At 43.6% G+C, this 24,372-nt stretch overlaps 1 protein-coding gene across 2 annotated transcripts in view, besides 1 other annotated feature; it reads left to right on the top strand.

Moving 5' to 3' along the window:
• The window catches only part of MCC (MCC regulator of Wnt signaling pathway), a 466,348-nt gene that overhangs the window by 283,966 nt on the left and 158,010 nt on the right, over positions 1-24,372 (top strand). The gene's annotated exons all lie outside the window — the stretch shown is intronic.
• Positions 736-1,277: an enhancer, noted in NCBI's record as "H3K27ac-H3K4me1 hESC enhancer chr5:112538908-112539449 (GRCh37/hg19 assembly coordinates)". NCBI's record gives its function as "activates a minimal SCP1, AML or CMV promoter by ChIP-STARR-seq in naive H9 embryonic stem cells {active_cell/tissue: H9 hESC(naive)}" and the evidence as "EXISTENCE:reporter gene assay evidence [ECO:0000049][PMID:30033119]".

Below are 24,372 nucleotides of genomic sequence, written 5' to 3'. Positions count from 1 at the left end.
TATTTGGTGTATATTTTAGAATTTTAGAATTCTTAATTTTTAGAATTTGGTGCATGTTTTAGAATTTTAATGCATTTCGGAGGGAAAGAGAGTGAATTTTAACTAGCTATCCACACAGTTTTAGAACTAAAAATCTGTATTTCAAGATCAATCAATAGAGCTTTTCTGAGGAAGAGAGCTTTGTGTGCAAAGGCCTTCATCTGCTGTGTGATGGCTTCATTACTTCACATTTAGTGCTAGAAAGAGGCTTTGTGATGATTTTAAGTATGCCTTGGCCTTCTTGTTCTTGCCCATAATGCTGATGAAACGGTTCTTGCAAACCGTCAAGACCATTCTCTAGGCACAGATGTAGTTACTCCCAGTCATCTCCTTGACCGTGTTTGTAGGCTTTATACTCATTCCTCTTATTCATCTCAGCTGCCCAGAAAGGCTGTGGATAGAGATGAGTGGGATAAAAATTGCCGGAAAAGGAAGGACGGAAAATAGGGGATATTGAGCCTGTACTCAGTTTGGCGTCCGGCATCTCTCCTCAAATTTGGTTTGCTCTTAAGAATCTGAATGGGCAAAGTTAAGGACCAATCTTGGTGACTTTTTTTAAAGCCTTCTTATAAATTATTATGTCCACATTAATCTGACAATGAAATGCCATGTTGCCTTGCGCTGGATCTATGGCAAAGAAATCTAATAGCAAACTCCATACATCTGGTGTCTAGAGCGCATCTTAACCTATCATTTCACATGTAGCCTTTATTTGTAATATTTTGATTACTGCATGTGTGTAAGATCCAGCGTTGTTTTTTTTCATTCTGGTGGCTTGCACGGCGCCTGGTTGAGTGGTTGAATGTGGGTTTGCTTTGTTAAAGCCACAAACTTTGGAAGCGAAATAATCACGCCAAGTGATCCGGCTTATCTTGACTCTTCTGTAAATAGTATGCGCTCGGGGAGTATTCGGTGGCCCCCCGGGCAGGTCAGCAAAGTGGTTGTGAGACAGAGTAATCTGGTCTGGGCCGTGCTGAAAGCTCTTATTGATAAGGGATTAGTCTCGGTGGAGACAACGTGCTGTCACATGGGCATCAGTGCGATTGAGAGGAATGAGATCCGAGGCCGGTGGGGGAGGGACAGCGCTGAGTCACTGAGTTCATTAAAAGGCTACTGAACAGGCGTGCGGCAGGCGAGACCAACCCCGGACTGTGCCTCCACCACACCCATCCCCACACCTCTTGGGCAAGGAGGACCAGAGCACATGTCAAGGTAGGAGCACAAGCGGGGCAACTGGCCCAGCTCACAGTGCCTGTCTACCTCTTGCAGGTTCAGGCCCCTGGGTAGTTTCCCGGTGGGGCAAGAGGGAGCCCTGGCTGAAATGCAGGAACCCTTGTATTCCCCAAGTCCAGCCCCTGGTCCTGAGTATTGGCTTCTCTCTACAAATGGGAAGGGGAGTGGTCACCAAAAGATTTCCTGGCTTGGTGGCTCAGAAGTTCTGAAAGGGAAAATTGTATGCGCTTTACTGGTAGCCAGCAGTGAAATATTATTTTGCCGGATTGGGTGCAATTTAAAGTCACATCTAAACTTGGCAGTGAGCAGGCATTGTTGATGAAAAACAGGGTTGAGAATATGTCAAGTCACTCTTCTAACACGGACGCCATAAAGTTCAAAAGTCTGAAGCTTCTATACCCCTAGAAAAAGTTTTTTTTTTTTTTTTTAAATAAAGGGCAAACTTTCATCTGCATTGGGGCTGAGGGGAAAGTAGAAGGTATATGGGGGAGCTGGGGAATGGGAACAGAAGTCATAAAGTCTGATAAACTGTCTCATCTCTGCAAGCAGAGGCTAATTATGTGTTGTTTGACTTAAGTTTTTTCCCAGTCTTAAACATCTAACATACCATGTGTGTATAAGCGTGTGTGTTTTTGTGTCCCCTGCAAATACACTGTCGGCGTATCTGAATGACTGCTAATAAATGAACATGTCCAAAAGAATGACAGTGATGATCCTGTAGGCTAACTATGTACGTATTGTCGAAACAGATAGGCAGCTGGCGGTAACTGGAGAAAATCTTTCAAAGTAAACCCAGTGTCGGAGCTACCCCAGTGTAGGTTATCAGTCCTGGAGAACAGATTTTGGCAAATCTAGATAAAGAGTGGCTGCTTGGCCTAAGCAAGTTTTTTAAGGGACTAGTAAAAAGTCATTTCCTATAGAAGCTCCGTGTGCACTCCAGCACAACCCCGGGATTGCTTTATTTGTTTTGAGCTTCTTCCCCATCCTTCCTTTTTTTTTTTCCCCCTTTTGCAAAACTGAACATTGAATCAGTTAATCACAATTCATTCAGAAGTGTCTAAGGCAAGGAAGGCAGACAGCAGATTTTGGTGGCTTCGGTTAATGGGGAAATTTGTAATGGAGGCTGGGGTTGAGCAGGTTCAGGGAAGGAGGAAAGCCTGTGTGGTAAAGGAAAGCTTGCTGTTGACTGGGTTGTGCTGGCAGCCAGTAAAAACTGGGAGGGAAAGAGGAGCGATGAAAATGGGGTTGTGGGGTCGTTCCTTGCTGCCGTTGCCCCTTTATTGGCTGGAGTGAGTGTAGCCTGCCTGACAGCGTGTTACTTGGATGGCGGGACAGGAAACCACTTCATTCCTGGCTCCCCTGGTCTCAATTAGCTTAAGTGTAAAAACTTGCTTGATTTTAATCTAGCCCTCTAGCAGAATAAGACTTTTCCCCTTTAAGGAGAAAGGCATGTTGTCTTGGGCATTAATGAACCTTTACTAAACCAACCTTCCTGCATAATTAAATTACTTTGAAGTTATAGGAGCACCTAAAAATCAAGGCTTGACATAAAATCTAGAGCATATTTTTAATATTTCTTTCAAGTTTTCATAAAAGTTTGGAAAATGAGGATGTCAAAAGCATTGACTCTGAAATGCAAGAAATATGTTAAGCAAAACCTATAGCTGGGGAGAAAAGCAAAAGCTAGTTGGTTCTTGGGTTTTTAAAGTCACCAAGAAGGAGCCATGGATTAGGACTTCATCTGACTTGGGGCCCTAGATTTATGGAGGGTGGGATACCACACTGCTGTGGGCCAGTAGTTTCTTCTTTGTTTTTTTTTTTTTTTTTTGGAGATGGCGTTTTGCTCTTGTCGCCCAGGCTGGAGTGCAATGGCGTAATCTCAGCTCACTGCAACCTCTGCCTCCTGGGTTCAAGCAATTCTCCTGCTTCAGCCTCCCGAGTAGCTGGGATTTACAGGCACGTGCCACCACACCTAGCTAATTTTGTATTTTTAGTAGAGATGGGGTTTCTCCGTGTTGGTCAGACTGGTCCCAAATTCCCGACCTCAGGTGATCCTCCCATCTCGGCCTCCCAAAGTGCTGGGATTGCAGGCCTGAGCCCCTGTGCCCAGCCAGGCCAGTAGTTTCTTATTTCCAGTTCCAAGCATATAGATGGATACATCCGAGGCTTTTTCCCCCTGTGTAAGGGGTTCCATATAAGAATTTAACTGTTTGGTCTCCATCCATCATACTCCAAATAACCTGCAGATCACCTATGGCAGAATGTTAACCCTTTATCTACTACATGGTCAAGTTAGTGTTCAAGAAAAGCCAAATGCATTGAAAGATTTTTTGCCTAACGAAATCCCTTCCTTGCTTCTGGCACAGCACCAGTTTCCTGCAAGATGAGGTGTCTTCAGGCCTCACTGCTGGCCTCACCTAGGTAGCCACCTGGGCACCATCTGGTTTCAAATCCCCCTATTTGCTCTTTGAAATTTCTCTTTATTTCTGGGGATAGATCCTTTTGCTTATAAGGTTGGCTAGGCTTTTCTTTGTTTGCTTTTTAACTTAAGTTGTATCCGACATTTCCATATGTTTCTCAGTGGAGAAGGGGCTTCCTGTGTCAGCTCAGTCTGCTGTGCAGACCTGAGGTCTAGCCTAACTAAGTGGAACAGGGAAGTTCAATATGGGAGAATGTTTTTTTAAGTTGAACCAGATAGTCTTGGTGTTAGAAGGAACCCCTACCACCACTGTTTCTTGTATAGTCTTGTGCTTTCTAACAGGAAGGGGATCAGCAGGCAGGCAGTGATGTATCCTCACAGCAACTCGTGGTTCACTGTCAAGTCATCTTGACCCACAGAGCTGCTGTCCTGAGCCCTCCATCTGAATGGCTTTCATTGAACAAACTGTACCTGCCTGTTGCTATATTTGCATGAGATCACTTTTCCTTTATAATTTCAAATTCATGATGTTTACTACTCACAGACCATGCATTTATAATGAGATTCCAGCTCCCTTTTATTTTTTCCTATTAGGTTTGAAATCCCTTCCTTCTGTGGTAACCTGTCATATTTACTGTCTTCCACTGTAGCTAGGATATAAATTTTACGTGTCTTCCTCCACTTTCCAAATTCCACATTAAAACTTACCTTGTCACTTCATCCATGGCAAAACTCTTTCCACCTGTGCTCATGAAATGCCCTTTCTCCCCAGCTAGGAGCCATCATTCTAGTGTCTCACACACGGTTCCTAAAAATAAAAATTCTGTTTCAGATACCCATATGTGTTGCTTGGCCACTTTTATCTTTCAAAATCAATAGCCTTCACCGGGAAGAAGCCAGAAAAATATCCCCCTTGGGTTTCAGGGTTGTCTTCAGAAAGTTCAGGATGTTTGGAGTGGTGTCACTCATTCCTGTGAAAGTCAGGCATGGAGAGGAGAGGATGGTATTAGCCTTGGTGGTCTGTTGCATTGTTCTCTCTCCTTGGCCTCATTTACTTCAGCAAGCTGGCAGTCATTGGGGAATAATGATCTCATTCACGTGGTGATGCAATCCAACTGCCTTCACCCCATTCACCATTCTACCAGAGCATCCTGAGACTTTATTCTATGGCCCATGGCACACAGTGTCTGCTGCAATGCTGCTGCTTCAGATTCTTTCACTCTCCAACCCTAATTTTAACTCTTTTTAGATAATCCTTTTGAGAATCTGGAAGCAGCAAACTTTCCTCCCAGAAAAAATACACTCATACAATTTTGTGTCCAGTTTCAGGGATTAGCACATCTTGTCTATTCAAAGTAAGTGGACTCCAGGTTCAGGACCCCTTATATAAACTACCCACATTGTTTTTAGATTTGGCAATTTAGCTTACTACATGTGGTTTCTATTATTGGTCCCACAAAGAGGGCCTTACTCCTGTTCTGTGTGTCTTGTGGTTTTATATATTATTTACACTCGGACCTCAGATAACACGGCACTAGATTAGTCATGGTCCTTGGTTCACACTTAACACCTGTCCTTGCAGGATGCTCTTCTATTGATTTCATTTCTTTCTTTTTTTTTCTTTGGAGACGGAGTCTCGCTCTGTCACCTAGGCTGGATGGAGTGCAGTGGTGCAATCTTGGCTCACTGCAACCTCCACCTCCCAGGTTCAAGCAATTCTCCTGCCTCAGCCTCCAGAGTAGCTGGGACTACAGGTGCACACCACCATGCCTGGCTAATTTTTGTATTTTTAGTAGACATGGGGTTTTACCCAGGTGATCCGCCCACCTCGGCCTCCCAAAGTGCTGAGATTACAGACTTGAGCCACTGCCCCTGGCCTATTGATTTCATTTCTATATAACATCCAACCCTTGTGAGCCCACCCCCAACTCAGAAACTTGAAGGTCACTGCATGCACCTCAGCCTACGTGGTCCCGCCTCCCAACCCAGCCCAGCCTCTCTCCTGAATCTTGTGCCAGCTGTTTGTTGTGTTCCTCAGAGGTAGTTTTGTTACATCTATACTGTCTGTTAATTCTTTTTTTTTTTTTTTTGAGGTGGGGGTGTTGCTGTGTCACCCAGGCTGGAGTGCAGTGGCCCATGATCACTGCTCTCTACAGCCTCAACCTCCCAGGCTCAAGAGATCCTCCTGCCTCAACCTGCCGAGTAGCTGGGACCACAGGTGCAGGCCATCATGCCCGGCTATTTTTTTTTTTTTTTTAATTATTTGTAGGGACAGAGTCTCACTATGTTACCCAGGCTTGTCTCGAACTCCTGGGCTCCAGCCATTCTCCTGCCTCAACCTCCCAAAGTGCTGGGATTACAGGTGTGTGCCACCATGCCTGGCCCCACATCTGTACATTTCTAAAAGGTTAGATATTATTTAGTTCCTGCCTTCTCTCTTGAAATACATAAGTTATCCCAGGCTCATTTACTTTAAAATACTTGAACACCTGCTAGGTGTTAGGTGCTGAGGTGGTAGGGGAAGAAGGACTCAAATGACAGCCCCTGCTATCAAGTAGCTCAGAAAGAAGATACCAAAACCCTTTAATCTCAAATAATGACACCACCAAAGACATGAACAAGCTGAACTGCCTTATATGGGTGATACCATTTCTGTATGTGGCACGAGACTTGCTTTATGCTAGACTTATACATAGTATGACAAAGAAGGCCTGCAGTGCACCAGCTTTCCTGTTAACTGAATTATATAGGCTCACAGCGTGGCTGGCCACCAGTTCTTACCCCCTTTCTAATCTGCACCATTCCATAGCTTGCACTTAGCTGGACTGAGATGCTTATCAGACACACTTTCACTCTTGTAGTCACATGACACGAGTGTCACCTCTGTGCTTTCCTCCGCCTCTCCTGCCTGGGTTTACGGAACGCAGCATAGCCTGGTGCACAGAGCACAGGCTCTGGAGTTGGCCACCTTGGGCTCAAGTCCTGGCTTCACAGTTCCCCTGTGACCTTGAGCAGATTACTTATGCCCTGCCTCCTTTTCTTCTCAACTATAAAGTGAGGATAGTAATTCACCCATGTGGGGTTGCTGTGAGGTTTGAATGGAATAAAGTGCTTAATACATAGGGCCCCCTACATAGTAAGTTTTCAATATTTGATGCCATCAGTAGTTGTTGTTTTGGCCTCCCACGACCCAAGAAATAGTGGGAGGTGAAAATTAAAGAGATTGGCTGTCATCAGGCTTCCTGTGTGCTAGGGAGCTTATTTTACTTTATGATTTCAACAGCTTTGAGATATAATTCACATATCATACAATTCACCCTCTTCAAATGTACAATCCAGTGGTTTTTAGTGTGTTCAGAGTTGTGTGTCCATCACCACAAACAGCCTTTTCACTGCCTAAAAAAGAAACCCCATAACCATAGGTAGCCATTCTTCACTTCTTTCCCCGCTACCTACCTATCCTCTCCCCTAGCCCAAGCAGTCACCTATCTCCTCTCTCTTTGTTTGCCTATTTGGGCTTAAAAAAAAATTGGGGGTCTGAAAACTGGTTTAGGAAAAAAAAATTCCCCCTTTTGAATTGTAATTATATCTCCTTTGACCAACATCTCCCCATCGACCCAGAACGTATTTAAGAAAGAAGCCCGTGACAGTGGAGCGGACCCCCCAGCCCACCACAGCTCCCTGGCTCCAAAAAGTCTGAAGTCCTAATTCCACAATATCAACATATGCCACCGTTTCTTGCTCAGATTTCCATGTATACATCTTACATTTCCAGAACCAGGTTTTAAGCTCCATGAGGGCAGACACTGCATCTTTTATTTCAATGTTACATGTAGGATGGCACCCTTAATTAATTGTTCCAAAGACCATTAGTGGAGGTTCCAGATCACAGGGCCCAAACTCAGCCAGAACCTGCAGACGTGCTTCTGTTTGCCCACAGATTGATTGATTGATTTTTGAGATAGAGTCTTGTTCTGTCACCCAAGCTGGAGTGATCTTGGCTCACTGAAACCTCTGCCTCCCCAGTTCAAGCGATTCTCCTGCCTCAGCCTCCTGAGTAGCTGGGATTACAGGCATGTGCCACCACGCTCGGCTAATTTTTTGTATTTTTAATAGAGATGGGGTTTCACCGTGTTAGCCAGGATGGTCTCGATCTCCTGACCTCATTATCTCCCACCTTGGCCTCCCAAAGTGCTGGGATTATAGGCGTGAGCCACTGCGCCCGACCGAGTATTTTTTAAATTAACATTGGTAAGTAGCCCTTATACATCAAAATATTTCACTTAAAAATCCCTATTTCTGGATTTTCTTACAAAATCATAGTATCTAGCAACATGGGGCCCATATTCCCACCTAGCAACAAATGCTGGAGTTGAGAAGCAGATGCCTGGTAGTAAATGAGACATGACCTCTCCAGGTTGCTATGGGCCCTACTGCTCCCTCTTGCTCACTTCACCCACTTCCATCAGGGCTCACCTGCTAACCTCCTGGGCACCTGACTGTGACCCAGGTCATGAGAGCCTGATGTCAGGAAAGAGGGTCATTCATCCATCCAGCAATGCTTCTAAAACCCAGCACTAGGTGTTGGCACAAGCAAGGGAGATGGGAATGAAGATATTTCCCATTACTTACGGTATCTCACCCATAGGTATATCACCAATAGAAGTGACTCCCAGCATGACTCCAGTGAAAGACACTATGTGCCAACCGAGGCACAAGTAAACAATCGAAAAGAATGAAGTCTACTGCTGCCTGAGCTGCCTGTGGGGTTTCATGCATGAGGTCATTTGGCACTAGCTCTTTAAGGATGGTAGGATTTCAGTAGTTGGAAGAGAAAACATCCTTCTCCCTGAGGGGGTGACAGATGCAAAAGAAGCCAGCTGTGACTTGACCACCATGACCCACATGTAGAAGAGTAGAGGGAGCTGAGAGAGAGGAGGCGCCAGATGAGAGACCCTGAAAGCCAGATGGTGGTATTTGGAACACAGGCAGAAGGGCACTGCCACCAAAGATTTTTGAGAAGGGGAATATTGTGGTCAAAGGAGTTTGAGAAGTGAAAATATCTTCAACTGTTAGCAAACATCCCAGAGCCAGAGATGGCTTACTGACCTGTTTGCCAGGATGTCCTCTGCACCCTCCATCTGGCTTTTTCTTCCAGCCCATTTCTTCTAAGGGTGCTTAAGATTACCTTTCTTTCTCAGGCCCATGGCTGTGTCAGTTTGCAGAGTCCTGGTGATCTCAGGAGGCCCAGAGCCCACAGATGGGTGATAAATTTCACATGCAATTGGAAATGCATTAAAGGGGAGTGGCGACACTGAGAAAGTTTAACCTGCCTGTCATACGAAGAGATGAGAAACATGTTTGAGGCTGTTGTAAATTACACCAGACCTAAGCAGACAGTTTGTATCTGGTTGAGACCAAATTGTAGGTCTAATTCTATTAGTGAAACTCACTGTGTCCTGGTTGTTATAATTTGCTTTCTGCCTGTATGTGCTGGTAGAGGTTCTACATTCCCGATGCTGGGTGCCATTAAGGAACACTGGTCACCCCTTCCGAGCACACACTGTTGAGAATGCTGCTGTTGCAGCATGGATATTGATCGACCCCCTCACGAGGTCCATTGCTGTCTTCACACCAAGTGTGATCTGTGTGTGGTCTTGGAGCTGGCTTCCTTTACTGTTCCCTTCAACAAACGCTTTGGTATATTTAGTCCACACTGTGCACTGGGAAAGCCTAGGGCACAATCACTATCTGAAATGGGCATGGATGCTTCTGGGGCAGCCTGGTTCTATTCAGAGTTAAACATCACTGCTCCCAACAGTGGAACCACCAGCCTGGCTGTGATGTTGTCACTGACAACAGAAGTGAGGCCTGCTGTGGGGGCCATGTTCTCTTTTTGATTTTATGGCTATTTTGGCCTTGGTTTATTGCGTTTGCTTTGTACACTACATCTAGATTCATTTTCACAATGAGTCCTCGAGGAATGACTATATATAGATGAAGGAATTCAAGATTGCCAAAATCTTTCTACGGAGCAGCATTCATCACTCATCATAGGGAATCAGGAGGCCTCTTCTCTTCCCCTTTCCCTTTCCCTTCCCCTTTCTTCTTTTTCTTCCTCTTTCTTCTTTTCTTTTTTGAGGCAGGGTCTTCCTTTGTCGCCCAGGATGAAGTGCAGTGATGTAATCTTGGTTCGCTGCAGCCTCCAACTCTTGGGCTCAAGTGATCCTCTTGCATCAGCTTTCCGAGTAGCTGGGACTACACACATGCATGCTCGGTTAGTTTTTATTTTTTTGTACAGACAGATTCTTACTTTGTTGCCCAGGCTGATATTGAACTCCTGACTTAAGGCAGTCCTCCTGCCTGGGCCTCCTAAATTGTCGGTATTCAGGGAGTGAGCCCCCACGCAGACCAGGAGGCCTTTTGAGTAGTGTCAAGTTGTTGTTTTTCTCTCTTCTATGGGGCAATGTTGGACTTTAACTGATTCAACAGACGTTTCTCAAGAGTGTTTTGCATGTACTAAGTATTGTACAAGCCCTGGATAAGTTAGGTTATCACCATGTCCCCCTGCTGGATGCCTGGATTTCTTTATGACATATCCAAGACAGATTCAGTAATTTGTCAGATATGACCATTTTTTGTTTTCCGCCAATCACAGGACTAGACGATGATGTTTATGTTACTTTATAAGCTTAGATCTATAGGAGTCCTCTGGAGCCTGCGTAATTTTTCCCAAGTGCTGTTTCTTCAGTTTGTGCAGCTGCCACCATGTGAATAGTGGTACCTGTAAACATGAGGTAGAACTGGCAGGTAGATGATCCCCAGGTGTGGTACTGGACAAAAACAGGAATAGGTCACAAAATACACTTTCATAGAAAAATAACAACTATTACCCAAATTGTGCTTCAGTTAATCATTCCTTAGAAAAAAAACAAATGAGAGGAGGAATTCCTAGGTGTATATGTAGCATTCACTAAAGTAAATCCCAGCTGGACTATAGACTTAGGTGTACAAATTGACCCCATAAACAAATGGAAGTGCAGTGTGTGAATGAATAGCATAAACTCTGGATGAGTGGATCCCAGGCTATGAAGCGGTTTCCTAGGAGAAACAGAATTGGAGGTGGGGAACAAATTTTATTCCTACTTTATGTATTTCTCTATCGTTTGAATTTGTAACAATGAGTGAAGTACATACACCCACACCCACGCATACACAAACACTATCCTGACAAGATACGGAGAGAATTCCTAGGCTTAACGTTAGTGGGAGAAATGACAAAAGTGTAGATAAGAGGATTTGACAACAAACATGTTACTTTTATGGAAAGAATGTAGACAAACAGGAGAAAATATTTCCAACAACCCCATGTTACCATTCTCAAATAGCTTAATATAATAAGAACATCTGTTGGGTTGAATGCCTGCCCACCCCCACCCCAAGAGGTCCATGTCCTAATCCCCAGAATTACTGAATATTTTACCTTACATGGTAAAAGGATCTTTGCATATGCGATTAAGAATCTTGAGATGAGGCTGTTATCCTGTATTATCCAGGTAGGCCCAGTGTAATCAAAAGGGTCTTCATAAGAGGGAGGGAGGAAAATGAGAGTCAGAAGAAAAAGATGTCATAACGGAAGCAAAGAGTCAGAGTCTGAGAGAGACTGGAAGATTCTGTGCTGCTGGCCTTGAATATGAAGGGGCCACGAGCCAAGGAATGCTGGCAGCTACCAGAAGCTAGAATAGGAAGAGCTGAGGAAATAAATTCTACCCCAGAGCCTTCCGGGGAAGCCTGGCCCTGATAACACCTTGATTTAGGCCTAACGAAATGGTTTTAGACTTCTGACTTCCAGAGCTGTAGACAATAAACATGTGTTGGTTTAAGCCACTAAGTTCATGTATTTGTTACAGCAGCCATAGAAAACAATCCCAAGGCCTAATGGAAAAACTTTCATACTGACATCTACTACTTAGTAGGTTCTTCCTTGTTTGAACTGTGTTGTATGCTTTGCATGTGTCATCTCTTAGTTGATAAACCTATGGAGAAGGAGGTATAAGGAGGCTTAGCAGGTTCTTCCTTGTTTGGACTGTGTTGTGTGCTTTGCATGTATCATCTCTTAGTCCTTACAAACTTATGGAAAAGGAGGTGTAACTCCCATTTTAATAATAAGCGAACTGTGAAGCTTGTTAAATTGCACATCACACTGTTAGTTTCAGAGCTAGGATTCTTTCTGGCACACCCGATCCAAAGCCCATGCATGTGTGTCTTTAATCCACATATACAAGTACACACGAAGACATATGCTAATTATAAAAAGGTAGGGGGTATAGGTGCTATTTTCTGCATATGCTTTTTTAACTCACAAATTTCCTACAGACAATATGTAATCCCATGTTGAGAAGAGGGAAAATTTCTTAGTGAAAGAACAGTGCCTTGTGTTTCACAGTTTATCAACGTTGACAACAAGGTTGTCCAGAGAATGTTCTTTTCTGAAGGGAAAGCCTTCTAGACTGCACATCTCAAAGGTGTTTTCAAAGGGTGACCTTGATCTAATAGCTTGGCCTTACCAAAACATTTCAGGTATTGTCTTTGGTTACTCTCAGGTGTGGGTGCTTCCTTAGAGCCTGGTGGGTGGGTGCCATGGTGAAGGAAGGGGCATGTGGCACTAGCCCCAGCACACTGGAATGAGATCTAAGCTCAAAAAGTGACATAAACATCATCTTCTAGTTCTGTAGTGGGGGGAAAACAAAAAATGGTCATATTTGACAAATGACTGAATCTGTCTTGCATACGTCATAAAGAAATCTAGGCATCCAGCAGGTAGGTGTGCATGGTGGTAACCTAACTTATCCAGGGCTTGTACAGTACTTAGCACATGCAGACATTCTTGAGAATTTTCTGTTGAATCAGTTAAAGTCCAACATTGTCCCATAGAAGAGAGAAAAACAACAACTTGACACTACACCTAAATCAAGGTGTTAAAGCCTTTGGCCTTCATGGGGAGTGGTGGCCCACTGGGGGCTGCTCTTTCTCATCGCTGTTCTATAATCAATTGCGTCATTTTAACTGTCCTAGAAAAAAGAAACTGTTGCATCCTGCTGTCTTAAAAATCAAGTCGCCCATCCTCAGCCCCATGACCTGGCTTCCTTCTGTTCTCTGATGTACGGAGATGTGGCGAGGAAACCTCTGCCTGCATCACTGTGAGGTCAGAGAGCCCCATGATTATCATCTTCAGTTCCCTTGCACTCCTGTTTCTCCCCTTTGCTCAGCTGAGGGCTTCCACCTGTCTAAAGGAACATGGCCCAGCAGGAAGGCTTCTAGGTGCCTGCCCTCTGGATTCGGTAGGGCCATGCCTAGGATGGGCCTCCAGGGCCAGTTTCCCCACAATGACCAACGATGTTCCTGGTTAGGCTGTGGCCAGAAGGAGAGATGTTAAAAAGTGAGGGGACCTCCTCTTATTCCTATGAAGAGATAGAAGAAGAGAATGACAGAAGGAAAGCCCAGGCTCACAAACCCAAGAAGAAGAAGAAGGGTCAGAAAAATGTGGAGTACTGGTGCGGAGGCAGATGGGGGAGACCAGCCTTTCCCACTTCTAACATTGGATGGGAAGAGACCAGGAGCAAAGGCAGGTAAGCAGCCTCCTACCTTCTGCTCGGTGATGCTTGAGAACTTGAATGTAATGGAGAATGCTAAAAGGAGGTGATTATCGTTTTTGGATTTGATGATTTCTGTTCATTTTAAGTCATCTATATAATCCAGAGAGGATGGGCCCTTCCAGCCTGCTGCTGAGATCCAGCTATCAGGGTCATGCCTGCTTCGTGCCAGGCACCATGCTCTGCCCTCCACTCCATCTTCCTTGCCCACTTCAGAGTACTTGCCTTGGTCCTGCAGATGGCCATGCACATGGTAATGGGGCTGTGTTCAAGAGATGGTAAACTTGAGAGACATTTATTTTTCTCTGCCTCTTAGATTTAGACAATCCCTTGTTCCCCACACCCAGTAAGGGAATCCACTCAGAGGATGTTTCATACACTTCCTCTTGCCCCTGCCCTGGGTTCTCCTGGCACCACCTTTTTGCAGCTCGACATGCTCAGATTCTGAAACCATTCGGATATCTCTGTATTGTTGTGCTAGCTCCTGCTCTTCACCCCACCCCATTCTAAGTTTTGTAGTTGTTTTGTCTGTTTGGTTTTTTCAGCAGAAGGGACACTAATACTGAATAGCTCTACATTCTTTAGCTGTGATTCAGGAACAAGTTTTCCCCCTTAGAATTAGGGCTTTTCTTTGTTTTAATCTGGAGACTTTCTCCTTGGTATTTTAAGCTCCTCCTTTGGTGTGCATCATTTAAAGCTTCCTAACACTTGGAGAATCCTTATAGCCCCTCCTTCCGCATGTGATTTTGCCTTTGCTATGTAGGCCAGAGAGCCTGGATCTAGGGAAGCGCGATTGCCTGCCACCCCTATTTGTTGTTATCATCCTTTCCGGTAGACCTTTTAGTTCCTTGGGGAAATAGATCAAGTGGCTTGTTAGAGCCCTACCAGTTTAGAGCAGGCTGTGAACACAAGCAAAAGACAGCTAGTTCTCTCACATCTTATCACCTGACCTATTAGCTATGGACTTAGTTCACTTTACAACTGCAGTTTGGCCAAGACTGTTATAGCAGCTGCCCAGGCAGGAAATAAGGGGACCTTATAGACACCTTAACACCTAATCAGATGCTAACAGAAGACTGTAGGTTGAGGGGTGTTGGGCTGCAGGTGGCTAGGCTGAGACTGAGGCTGGGTACTTCAGGCGGACACAGGCCCCTGAGTGGTCCATTAGCCAGTGGGATCTCAGTGGACTAATGAGGCTCTCTAGATAACCTACATCCAAGAGCCAAGCCTGGATCTTCTCCTGCAGGAATGTTATATAGCTTCACTGGTAATGGTGGTTACTGGGCTTTTTATAGGTGGCTGCTTAATTAAGATTGTGGCTAATTAAAAGTGAGTGAACTTGCCTATTTAATTTAAGTTTGGTAGTATCCATCCATGTCCTTAAATTTAACCTACTTCCTTTTTCAAAGGTTAAACAGTGATTCCACTAGACTCTGAGCACTTGGAGCCAGCCTCCTGCTTGCTCAAGTGATTTACTTCTGTTTTTATTTTGATCCGCTCAGTTGATTCACTTTTATTTATTCTGTATCGTGTGACTATAAAGGGGTAAGATAGTGCAACCTAGTGATAGACTGTGAGGCTTAGAGTCACCTGAGTCCAACACTGCTTTTAAGCAAGTCATAGTGAACCTGGATGGCCTATCCAGTTAAATTCTCGGACTCAGTTTTGCTACCTGTAAAATGGGCTTACACCTAAAGGGCATACTTTTGCAGACCAGCATGGTCAATCTCTGCTTTGATCATCTGATCCTTCAAGCAGCATTCTCTTCTGTTTAACTGTAAAATTGGGCTAACACTTCAAAGGTGCTTTCTTCTGACCTATGAAACTATGGAGATGGTCTGTAGTAAGTCCTTCCCCCAGAGCCATAACTGAGAGTCTCACTGTTTAAGGGGCAGCTGACTGTCGAGTTGTGATATAAGATGCCAGCTCTTCCAAAGAGGACATGTAGGGCAAGGTGAGGGCAGCCGCTGTCACTGGGCTCAGTGCACCCATTGGATTATTTTGTGAACACGGGCTTGAAGCAAGTCTGAGGTTGTCTCGGTTCTGTTCAGGTGCTCCTTTTCACAGGGCTTGGTAGACGGCCTCACTCCTCCAAGGTGAAGCTGTCTCTGGGCTTTGCATTCAGAAAACTTGCTGCACCAAGGTCAGCTGTGTCTCACAGAGTAACAAGGGTTCCCCTTCTCACATTTACTTTCTCTTGCTTAGTATCCATTTCTCATTTATGTTAGCTAATACTGGCTTCCTAATACTCTTTGCTCTGTTTTTGTAGTTAGATAAGCTTAGAGTTTATCTAAATTAAAAACTGTGGAGTCAGGTAGACACCTCAATTCCTGGCTCTGCCACTGACCAGCTGTGTGGCCCTGGGCACATTATTCTTCCTCTGAGACTCAGTTATATCACACTTGTAAGATGAGAAGAATCAACAGCATCTACTTTAAAGGCCTACATCATGATTAAACAGGGTGATGTGTGCATACTACATCACAGGTGACATTCAGGTTAGATGTGGGCTGGTCTCTTTATACCATACTCCTCTGAAAAGCATGTGTGCCCTCAACCATGATTTTCCCTTCCCCTTTCTGCTTTTGTGTTTTGAATACATCTTTACTTAATAAATATGAAAACATAAAGCCTTCAGCCTCTTGATCCAATTTGCTTATTAAATAATATGAACTTTGCAGCCATACCCCTGCAGTCACTGTGGCTGTCCTTGGAAGCAGAATAAATTCTAACTGTGAGTTGTTCTATGGCAGAACATGTGACTCTGTGTTTCTTATTTACCTGTTTCGTGGGGCTAGAATAATTAGAATCTTTTTTGCCTCCTTTTGGTAAACAATGAGAAGAATTTAGTTTGACAGCTGGCTCTTGTCTTTTTGTGAAGCTTGACAGTATCCAATCATGGTTGTGATGAATTTGTAATAGACAATGGGGCATCCAGAGACAACCACAAGGCTTGCATGTAATGTGGACAAGCTGGCATTGATATAGGCTATATTCGTTGTTTCAGTACCATCTGAGGTCCTTGCTTCCTCGGCTGTAAATAATACATGGCCTCTTTTACATCCCCTTTTCAAAAACCCCGGGAGTGAGAGAGGCTCATTTATGGCTTGGTTTACTTCTGCTTTCCCCTTTCTAGAATGATAACAGGATCATGCTTGAGCAGGGCCACATACCAGATTTGTTGATGCCCCTCTTGTTAGGTCTTTGCCCCTCAATTTGTTCTGAGCATGCACTAGAACTGTAAGGGACCTTGTTTGTAACGTGGGTTCTGTCTAAAGTATGGCTCACATTTGTGATGTGAGAGAGTCTTTGATGTTCTATTTTGGTCACAGGTGCATGTGTTTGCTTTTGTTGGTATGTTTTCTTTCTTTCTTTTTTTTTTTTTTTTTGAGTTGGAGTCTCACTCAGTCGCCCAGGCCGGAGTGCAGTGGCGCGATCTGGGCTCACTGCAAGCTCCGCCTCCTGGGTTCACGCCATTCTCTCGCCTCAGCCTCCCAAGTAGCTGGGACTACAGGCACCCACCACCACGCCCGGCTAATTTTTTGTATTTTTAGTAGAGACGGGGTTTCACAGTATGTTTTATTACAGCTTTCTTTTCTAGGGTAAGTTTGGGAGCCCCAGAACATGGAAAACTCTTGACTAAGCCCTGAAATATCCTGGGTTCCTCTGATCCTCAGAACAACCCAGTGAGTTGACAGTGCTTTTAGCCTCATCTTCTTAAAAGGAAACAGAGGAGGCCGGGTGCTGTGGCTCACACTTGTAATCCCAGCACTTTGGGAAGCCGAGGCAGGCGGATTGCTTGAGGCCAAGAATTCAAAATGAGCCTGGCCAACATGGCAAAACCCGATCTCTACGAAAAATGCAAAAATGAGCTGGGCATGGTGGCGCATGCTTGTAATCCCAACTGCTCAGGAGGCTGGGGCACAAGAATTGCTTGAACTTGCTTGAACCTGGGAGGTGAAAGTTGAAAAAAACTGCTAGTAGTGATGGGGCATATGAGGAGTGGAGGATAAACTATAGGAGGTGAAAGTTTAAATGAGTTTGGAATGGTTTGGTTGGGGCAGATGTTGAGGAGCCTCAAAGTATCCTGTATCTTATAGGCCAGCACTTCCTGAAAACTTTCCTAAAGTAGGATTTCTGCTAAAGTAGGATTTCTGCCAGATAATTATTGTTGTGGGGGCTGTCCTGTTTATTGTAGGATGTTTAGCAGTATCCCTGGGCTCTACCCAGTAGATGCTAGTAGCTCCCCCTATCCTCCCCCGGTTGTGAAAACCAGAAATGTCTGCAGACATTGTTCCCAAATGTCCTTTGGGAACAAACTTGCATGTGGTTGAGAACCACTGCTCTGAAATAAAGCAAGATAGGAAACTTCTACCCCTCAGTAAGCAAAGTGCCCATGGTGACCCTTGAAAAGGTACATAGGCTTGAAGCTTTTTCGACATCCCAGGGCTAATAGGTAGATGTTTTCTCTAGTATGTGTTTTGCTTTATTCTCTAATATATGTGTTGATCTTAAATATAAAAATATTTTAAGTTGCATTTACATCAAGTGCTGCTGTAGGGCAGGCTTTACACACTCAAGTGCCAGGCAGGGCAGGTTAAATAGATGAAGTAGACTAGGAGGTTTGATTTGTTTTTGTTGAAAAATAAGTGGTGTTAATTTTGGAAGGCAGTAGCCAAACAGGGAGGCTGACCGCATTTCTAGTTCATTGTCGCCATGGCTGCTGCGGGCCTTGGGAAATTCAGAAACACATTTTTATATCAAACCCATTCATATTTAAAACAGGCCCAAATGAGGGGGTGTAAGGGAGACTGCAAATCAAACAAAATGTGTCTATAGCCCCTGGAGCTGCACTTACTGTGTTTTCAAGTTCCTGCTGGCACGTCCCCTGCCACCCACGCTCTGGATTTCCCTGTGTGAGAAGCAGGGCTGAAAGACTGAGCCAGGGATACTGTGTAGATATGGTCAGATCACCTGTAGTAGTTGCAAGGATCCATTGCCGCACAGGCATGTTAATACCCCGGAAATCCCAGGGACCTCTATGCTGCCTCAGCAGCAGCTCTCAGTCAGTCCCACAAACTAGGTTTATGCATTGTTGCCCCTCAATGCCACTGTCATTGCACTTAAAAAAAAATCATACAGTCCTTGTTTTCAGATCTCCTCAGGGTCTTGGTGGCTCTCATCTGAATATACACTTAATTGCTCTTTCTTCTCAAATTAAGGAATCCAGAATTCAACTTACTGAAGGAGGGGTGACCTCCTCATTCATTTCCTTATATGGCCTCTGTTACTATACCCTAAGATTGCAGAGTGTCATGCTACAGCACGCTTCATTCTCAATGAATTTAGTGTGAACTAGAATTCCTAAATCTCTTTAATATGTTATGCTACTATGCTGTATTTCTTTCCTACACTTGTAATTATTTTTCACATGCCTGGGGATGGCAATGACTCAAGAGAGGTTGAAGTTTGTAAAGCTGTTAGTTCCTCTCAATGCTCCTAGACTGCTGAGTTTTAAAATATGCTCACTTTTGAGAATAATGATTCTCTTTCTTACCTTTTTGTCAGCTGTCAGTTCTTGCTGATATCTGTGTAGCTTTCTCTAGCCTTTCAATCTGCTACTTCTAATCTCCTGTTGGTTGGGACATCATGTGTCCAGGAATTTTAGAATCATGTAACCAGGATTTTAAGAATTTCAAACAAGATAGATGGTCTCTGCCTGTGGACCCTTGTTAGGAAGTCAAGTGTTCATGCCTTCTTTGCTGGTCAGAACAATTTGTATGGTGTGTGTGTGTGTGTTTGCAGTTTTCAGGTCCATAGAGTTGTTTCCTCTAGGGCTTGTGTCTTGTTAAGATTTGACTGCATAAAGTAAGTCCACTCCCATTTACAACTCTCCTTCCTCACCCTCTCAACCCCTCTGATTACTAGAGAATTGGGACCTCATGTTAGAGACAGCTTAGATAGTCAGGATCCAAAGTTGGATGAATTCAACCCCTTATGCCCACTCTCTCTTCATTAAGTTGATGTTTGAACCATCGTGCAGAGGCTGTCTCCACGTGGAGTGGCCTAACGTGGTGTGGTTGTTCATTATCCTTCAGGATTTCCCCAGCTTCCCTGGTGCCTTTGCAGCCTTTTCTCTCTTGACCCTTTCAGTTAAAAGGTGGAGGAGATAAGATTTGGGTTTGTAGACAAATACAAAGTTACTCTCAGGCTAACATTTTCTTTACTTCTCCCACTGCACAGTGTGTGTCATGAGTACTTTATACAAAGTTAAGGTGGTTTGCCCATCTATTTCAGTTGGTAATTATAGAATTGGAGATGCGAAGTTGAAGCTGTTAGCCTTCTAACATACCTCCATCAGTGGACTCTAAGGATTTTACCCAGAAGTTCTATGTTCTACAGTTTCAGACTTAACCACTTTACTTATACCTGTCCATCTCTTCTTTTGATATTTTTAATAAAAATAATCCTTGTTGACCTCTGTTCCTATAGGGTTATAGAAACCAAACTGCTATAAGCTGGGCGTGGTTGTGCACACCTATAATCCTAGCACTTTGAGAGGCTGAGGCAGGAGGATTGCTTGATCCCAGGAGACTGCAGTGAGCCATGATCTCAGCACTGAGCACCAGAACAAGACTCTGTCTCCAAAAAAAAAAAAAAAAAACAAAAAACGAAGAAAGAAACTAAATTGCTATGTGGGAAAAGTGTGCTATTCCATAGATCAGCAAAGTAAAGTTTTACAAGTTGGTCTAATTTTTCTTCCAGCATCTTTCTAACCCATCCAAACCAGAAAAAATAAGTTATGCTTAGCATATGGAAAACCAGTTGAGTTTCAGGGAGGGTAGGTGGCAAAGAATCAGATGCTGATGTAGCTCTTTTAGACTATCTTAAATAGAAACAGAGCTTTGGGTTAAGGACCTGAGTTATCCCATTATGTTCTGTCAGAATATCGATATTATCCAAATCCGTCTCAACAAATGCATGGTGCTAATAAGTGGGAAAACAATCTTATAAGAGCAAATTCTAATGTTAAGAGATTACAGTTCTTTTGAGATCACTTTAAAAATTAAATGCCAGCTGTCTCCCCTAATGAGCTTTAGAGGGGAATAAAAATTGATTTTGGCATCAGACATTTCATTTTACTTACCAGCATTGTGATTTTGGATCCTCTAAGCTCTTTGGGCTTCAGTTTGCACAACCGAAAAATTGCATGGGGAATTGTGAAGATGGGTGGGGGCGGGCAGAGGAGGGAGGAGAGCAGCAGTCATGTGGAAAGGGCTAATGGGTGTCAGCCCTCTATTCCTTTGGCCCCCTTTCTCCCCACAAGTCTTGCTTCAGACAGAACCTAGAGAATTCTGACCATTTGCCCCTGCTAGTCATGTTTTCCAGCTAGTTCCCATCCCTCTGGACTGGTCCCATTTGCCCCTGGTGCTCTTGAGATGGGCTGTTTGGGTCTGCACACTTCTCCAGATGCCCAACTCTCTCTGCGTATGAGACTCTCATCCTGCTGTGTGCTAGATACAGTATTCCAATTAATGCAGCTGAGGGGGGATTGTAATTTGATGCAGCCAATGAATGTCCCCTTCCAGGCTTATTTGGAACCAAAACCCTTGGGAGGGGGATGTTTGGGGGAGGGAGGTAGCTGACTTTGTCACCATGTTTCCATTAGAGGCCATAATACCAATCCACACTCCTTTCTTCTGAGACAAGAAAGAATGTTTTTAAGAGGAGTCTGACAAATTTTCTCTGACCTGGTACCTGAAGGAAGAAAAGATAGATTTGAATTAAGTTGCACATATTGAAAAAGCTAAAATTTAGAGAAGCTTATTAAAAGACATTTCTCTGTCTCCTTCCCCTCCACACACAAACACACACGCACACACAGCTTAGATTTTCCAGACCTCTCTGGTGTGAATCAGAGCTCTTGTCTTAGGAGTATAAGGGAGCTGACCTTTTAAATCAATTACACTGAGGAGCAGATGGGGCCGCTGAGAGATCTGGAGCCCCCACTGCGTGAGGCGTATCATCTGGCAGCCACGGACCTGGTATAAATCCTATCATGTTTCCATTTAAGGTGCTCTGCCCACCTGGACACCCTCCCCAGCTCTCATTCTTCCTCCCTGTTGAAATCCTTCTCCCAAACTTAGCTCAAATGCCTTCTCTCCAAGAAAATCTTCCTGAATTATCTCAAATGGGAACTGCACTGAACTCTCCTGTGCTGTCTGTGGCACATTACTGAGACCTTCACTATGGCCTCGTCACAAGCCTCCTGTGACAGCGTGGCTATTGGGTGTTTATACCTTCCCGCCATCTGGATTGTCAGTTCCTCATTGGATGCGCATGCATTGAGTGCCCCTGTGTGCCAGGCCTTGTGCGAGGCACCGGAAGTAGATAAATATAGAAGTTCACCAACAGGTATGAAGACTGGCATGTAAATGCAAAACTCACTGTGACATATGTTGTATGTGAAAGGAAGTATCAAGTGCATTAATATTTCCCTGTGAGTATCTTCATGTAGCTTTTGAAGGCTTGCTCTTTTTTTTTTCTTTGAGATAGAGGATGGCTCTGTTGTCAGGCTAGAGTGCAGTGGTACGATATTGGCTCAGTGCAACCTCCGCCTCCCAGGTTCAAGCTATTCTCCTACCTCAGCCTCCTGAAAGTCTTGCCTTTTGAAGTTAGGAGAATATCTTAATCTTTTACTCCCATACCTAACAGAATGCCTGGTGCATAGTAGATACCCAATATGTGTGTTTTGAGTGAGTCACTTACCATCTTGTTAGTGTGGTCTGAGGAAAAAGGGTATGTGCCCACTTAACCACATTAGAACACTGGGTCTGGCTTGACTGTAGTGATGGAAGAACAGATACCAAGCTGCAGAGGCCATCCGGTAAATACTAACTGAATGAAGAGAATCTGTATAATGTGTGTAAATGCAGTTCAGTCCCTTCTCTACTATAAAAACCCCCTTAAAAGCATTTCATTGGTGGGGGTGAAATCACCCTTAAATAGAAACAAAATTGACAGGTAAGGAACAACTCTGGTGAAGAAGAGAGTTGTGGCTTTACCTTACACACAGGATGCTTCCAGCTAAACCCACCGAGCTGACAGAGGGAGCATGACACCTCTCCTCCATGTTAGCACATCAGGGCCTGGCTCAGCTGTGGGAAGGAACAAGTGATGCTGATGAGCAGATAATGCACCTGATAGGGAATGGGGTCCTTGGAGAGCAACATATCTGCGTGGCAACTGTTAAAACCCCCCTGGGCCTCAGAATTTACAGTGAGCTGCAGTCACAGGTAAGGAGACTCACTCATACTTCAGCACAGTGTCTGAGAGCTTGTTTTCTTTCTTTTTTTCTATTTTTGGTTTTGTAATTGTGAGTTTTATATGTGAAGAAGGGAACTCTCCAGGCAGATGATCTTCATTTTGGTTTGAGGTTTGCCTTTTGTTATATTTTCATTTGTTCTTACACATCTCGCTTATTCCTCTCTGGGGACTAGTTACCTCATCCTGTAGCTGAGAAAACAAACCCAGAGAAGCAGAGTCAGATTTGACCCCACTTTTCTGACAGCAGGTGCACAGTCAGAAGGTAGCTAAGATTATTGTGCATTATCTCTCCTTTGTATAGTATTCTACAGTTATAGATGGCAAGGTACTTTTGTTGGATCCTACTCATTTAGATAACTCTTTGGAGTTCATAACATGTTGTCTTCTATTTTCCTAAATATTTACCTCTATGATTATAAACAATAAAACAGCCTAGCCAAATTTCTTTGAGTCCCAGTAAAAGTGAATCTCTTCAGAATCCTTTTCTAAATTCTAATCAGTACATTTCAAGGCTGGTAATGGTGTTCTGACCGATAGTGGTGGTCTAAAATTTGCCTGATAATGGTCTTAAAGAGGCCTGTGCACATCCAGGCTTTCTGTAAGCAGCAGAATGAGGAAAACTCCTTTTTGAAAATCAAAGCTTCCCATCAAAATTCATGTTTAGGAATAGTCTAAATTGCCTGTTTCTGGGAGTTTAGACTAGGTTATCTTTAATAAGTGTCATCGTTCACATAGAGATGTGTTGGTCTCAATATAAGAATATAGGTTTTTAGGGCATTGCAACATTGATCTAATTTAATCAAGTTGGGAGGTTGGAATCTTTTGATTCTTCAAAATTAGAGTTGACTTTTGGATGATTTTAGATTAAACTGTAAAGACATAAATGATGACTTTCAAAGTAGGGTGCTGAATGGAGTTAGAAGGACGTAAGTAACTTTACGTAATTATTTTGTTTTTCTGATTAAAATGTAATTGTTAACTATTATATAAAATGTAGAAAGTCAGAAAAATATTAAAATAAAAATTACCTTAAATCCCACATCCAGATAGACATGCCATTAATGTTTTAATATTCTCTGTTGTATAGAGGAAAAATTGATCTCTTTTATACTGCTGAGATCTAACATATACATAAATGTATACTCTTCTTGGGCAAAAATGGCTTACCAGAAAATGGCTGGCATTATAACATAAACTTCTCTCATGTCAGTAAGCATTTTTGTTAAGTGGTCAATCTTGGGCCATGCTTTTACCCAGAAGTTGAAGAAGAAAGAGCCCCCAAACTAGAAGAATAGTCTCCTGTCCATCTATTCTCATCTCATCGAGGCACCCTGAACAGCATTGAAAGCCTAGGAGGGGCAGAAGGAAGAAATCAGTAATCCTGCCTATAAGGGGTAACAAGTGGGTTTTTCTGGTGGGTTCTCTATACAATATATTCCATAAATCTGAGTCATGCCATATTTGTTTTTCTTCATTAGATTTCTGAGCTGGAAGCACTGTACTGAAGTCTTGAAATGTATAAGATTATTATTATAAATTGGAAGCACGGGAGACAGGGTGGAATTGAAGAAGAAATAGCAATAAAACAAAGGGAGTAGAAATGAGAACATGGCAAATAAAAAAACACGTGACGATAAGTAGTAGAGATGGGCCCGTGAAGTCCAGATGCTGATAAAGAAGTACTTCTCATGGAGACCAGGC

This window comes from Homo sapiens, chromosome 5 (genome assembly GCF_000001405.40).
Source record: "Homo sapiens chromosome 5, GRCh38.p14 Primary Assembly".
Lineage (NCBI taxonomy): Eukaryota > Metazoa > Chordata > Mammalia > Primates > Hominidae > Homo > Homo sapiens.
The sequence above is the reverse complement of the archived record's forward strand: the minus strand, read 5'-3'. Positions and strand labels throughout refer to the sequence as shown.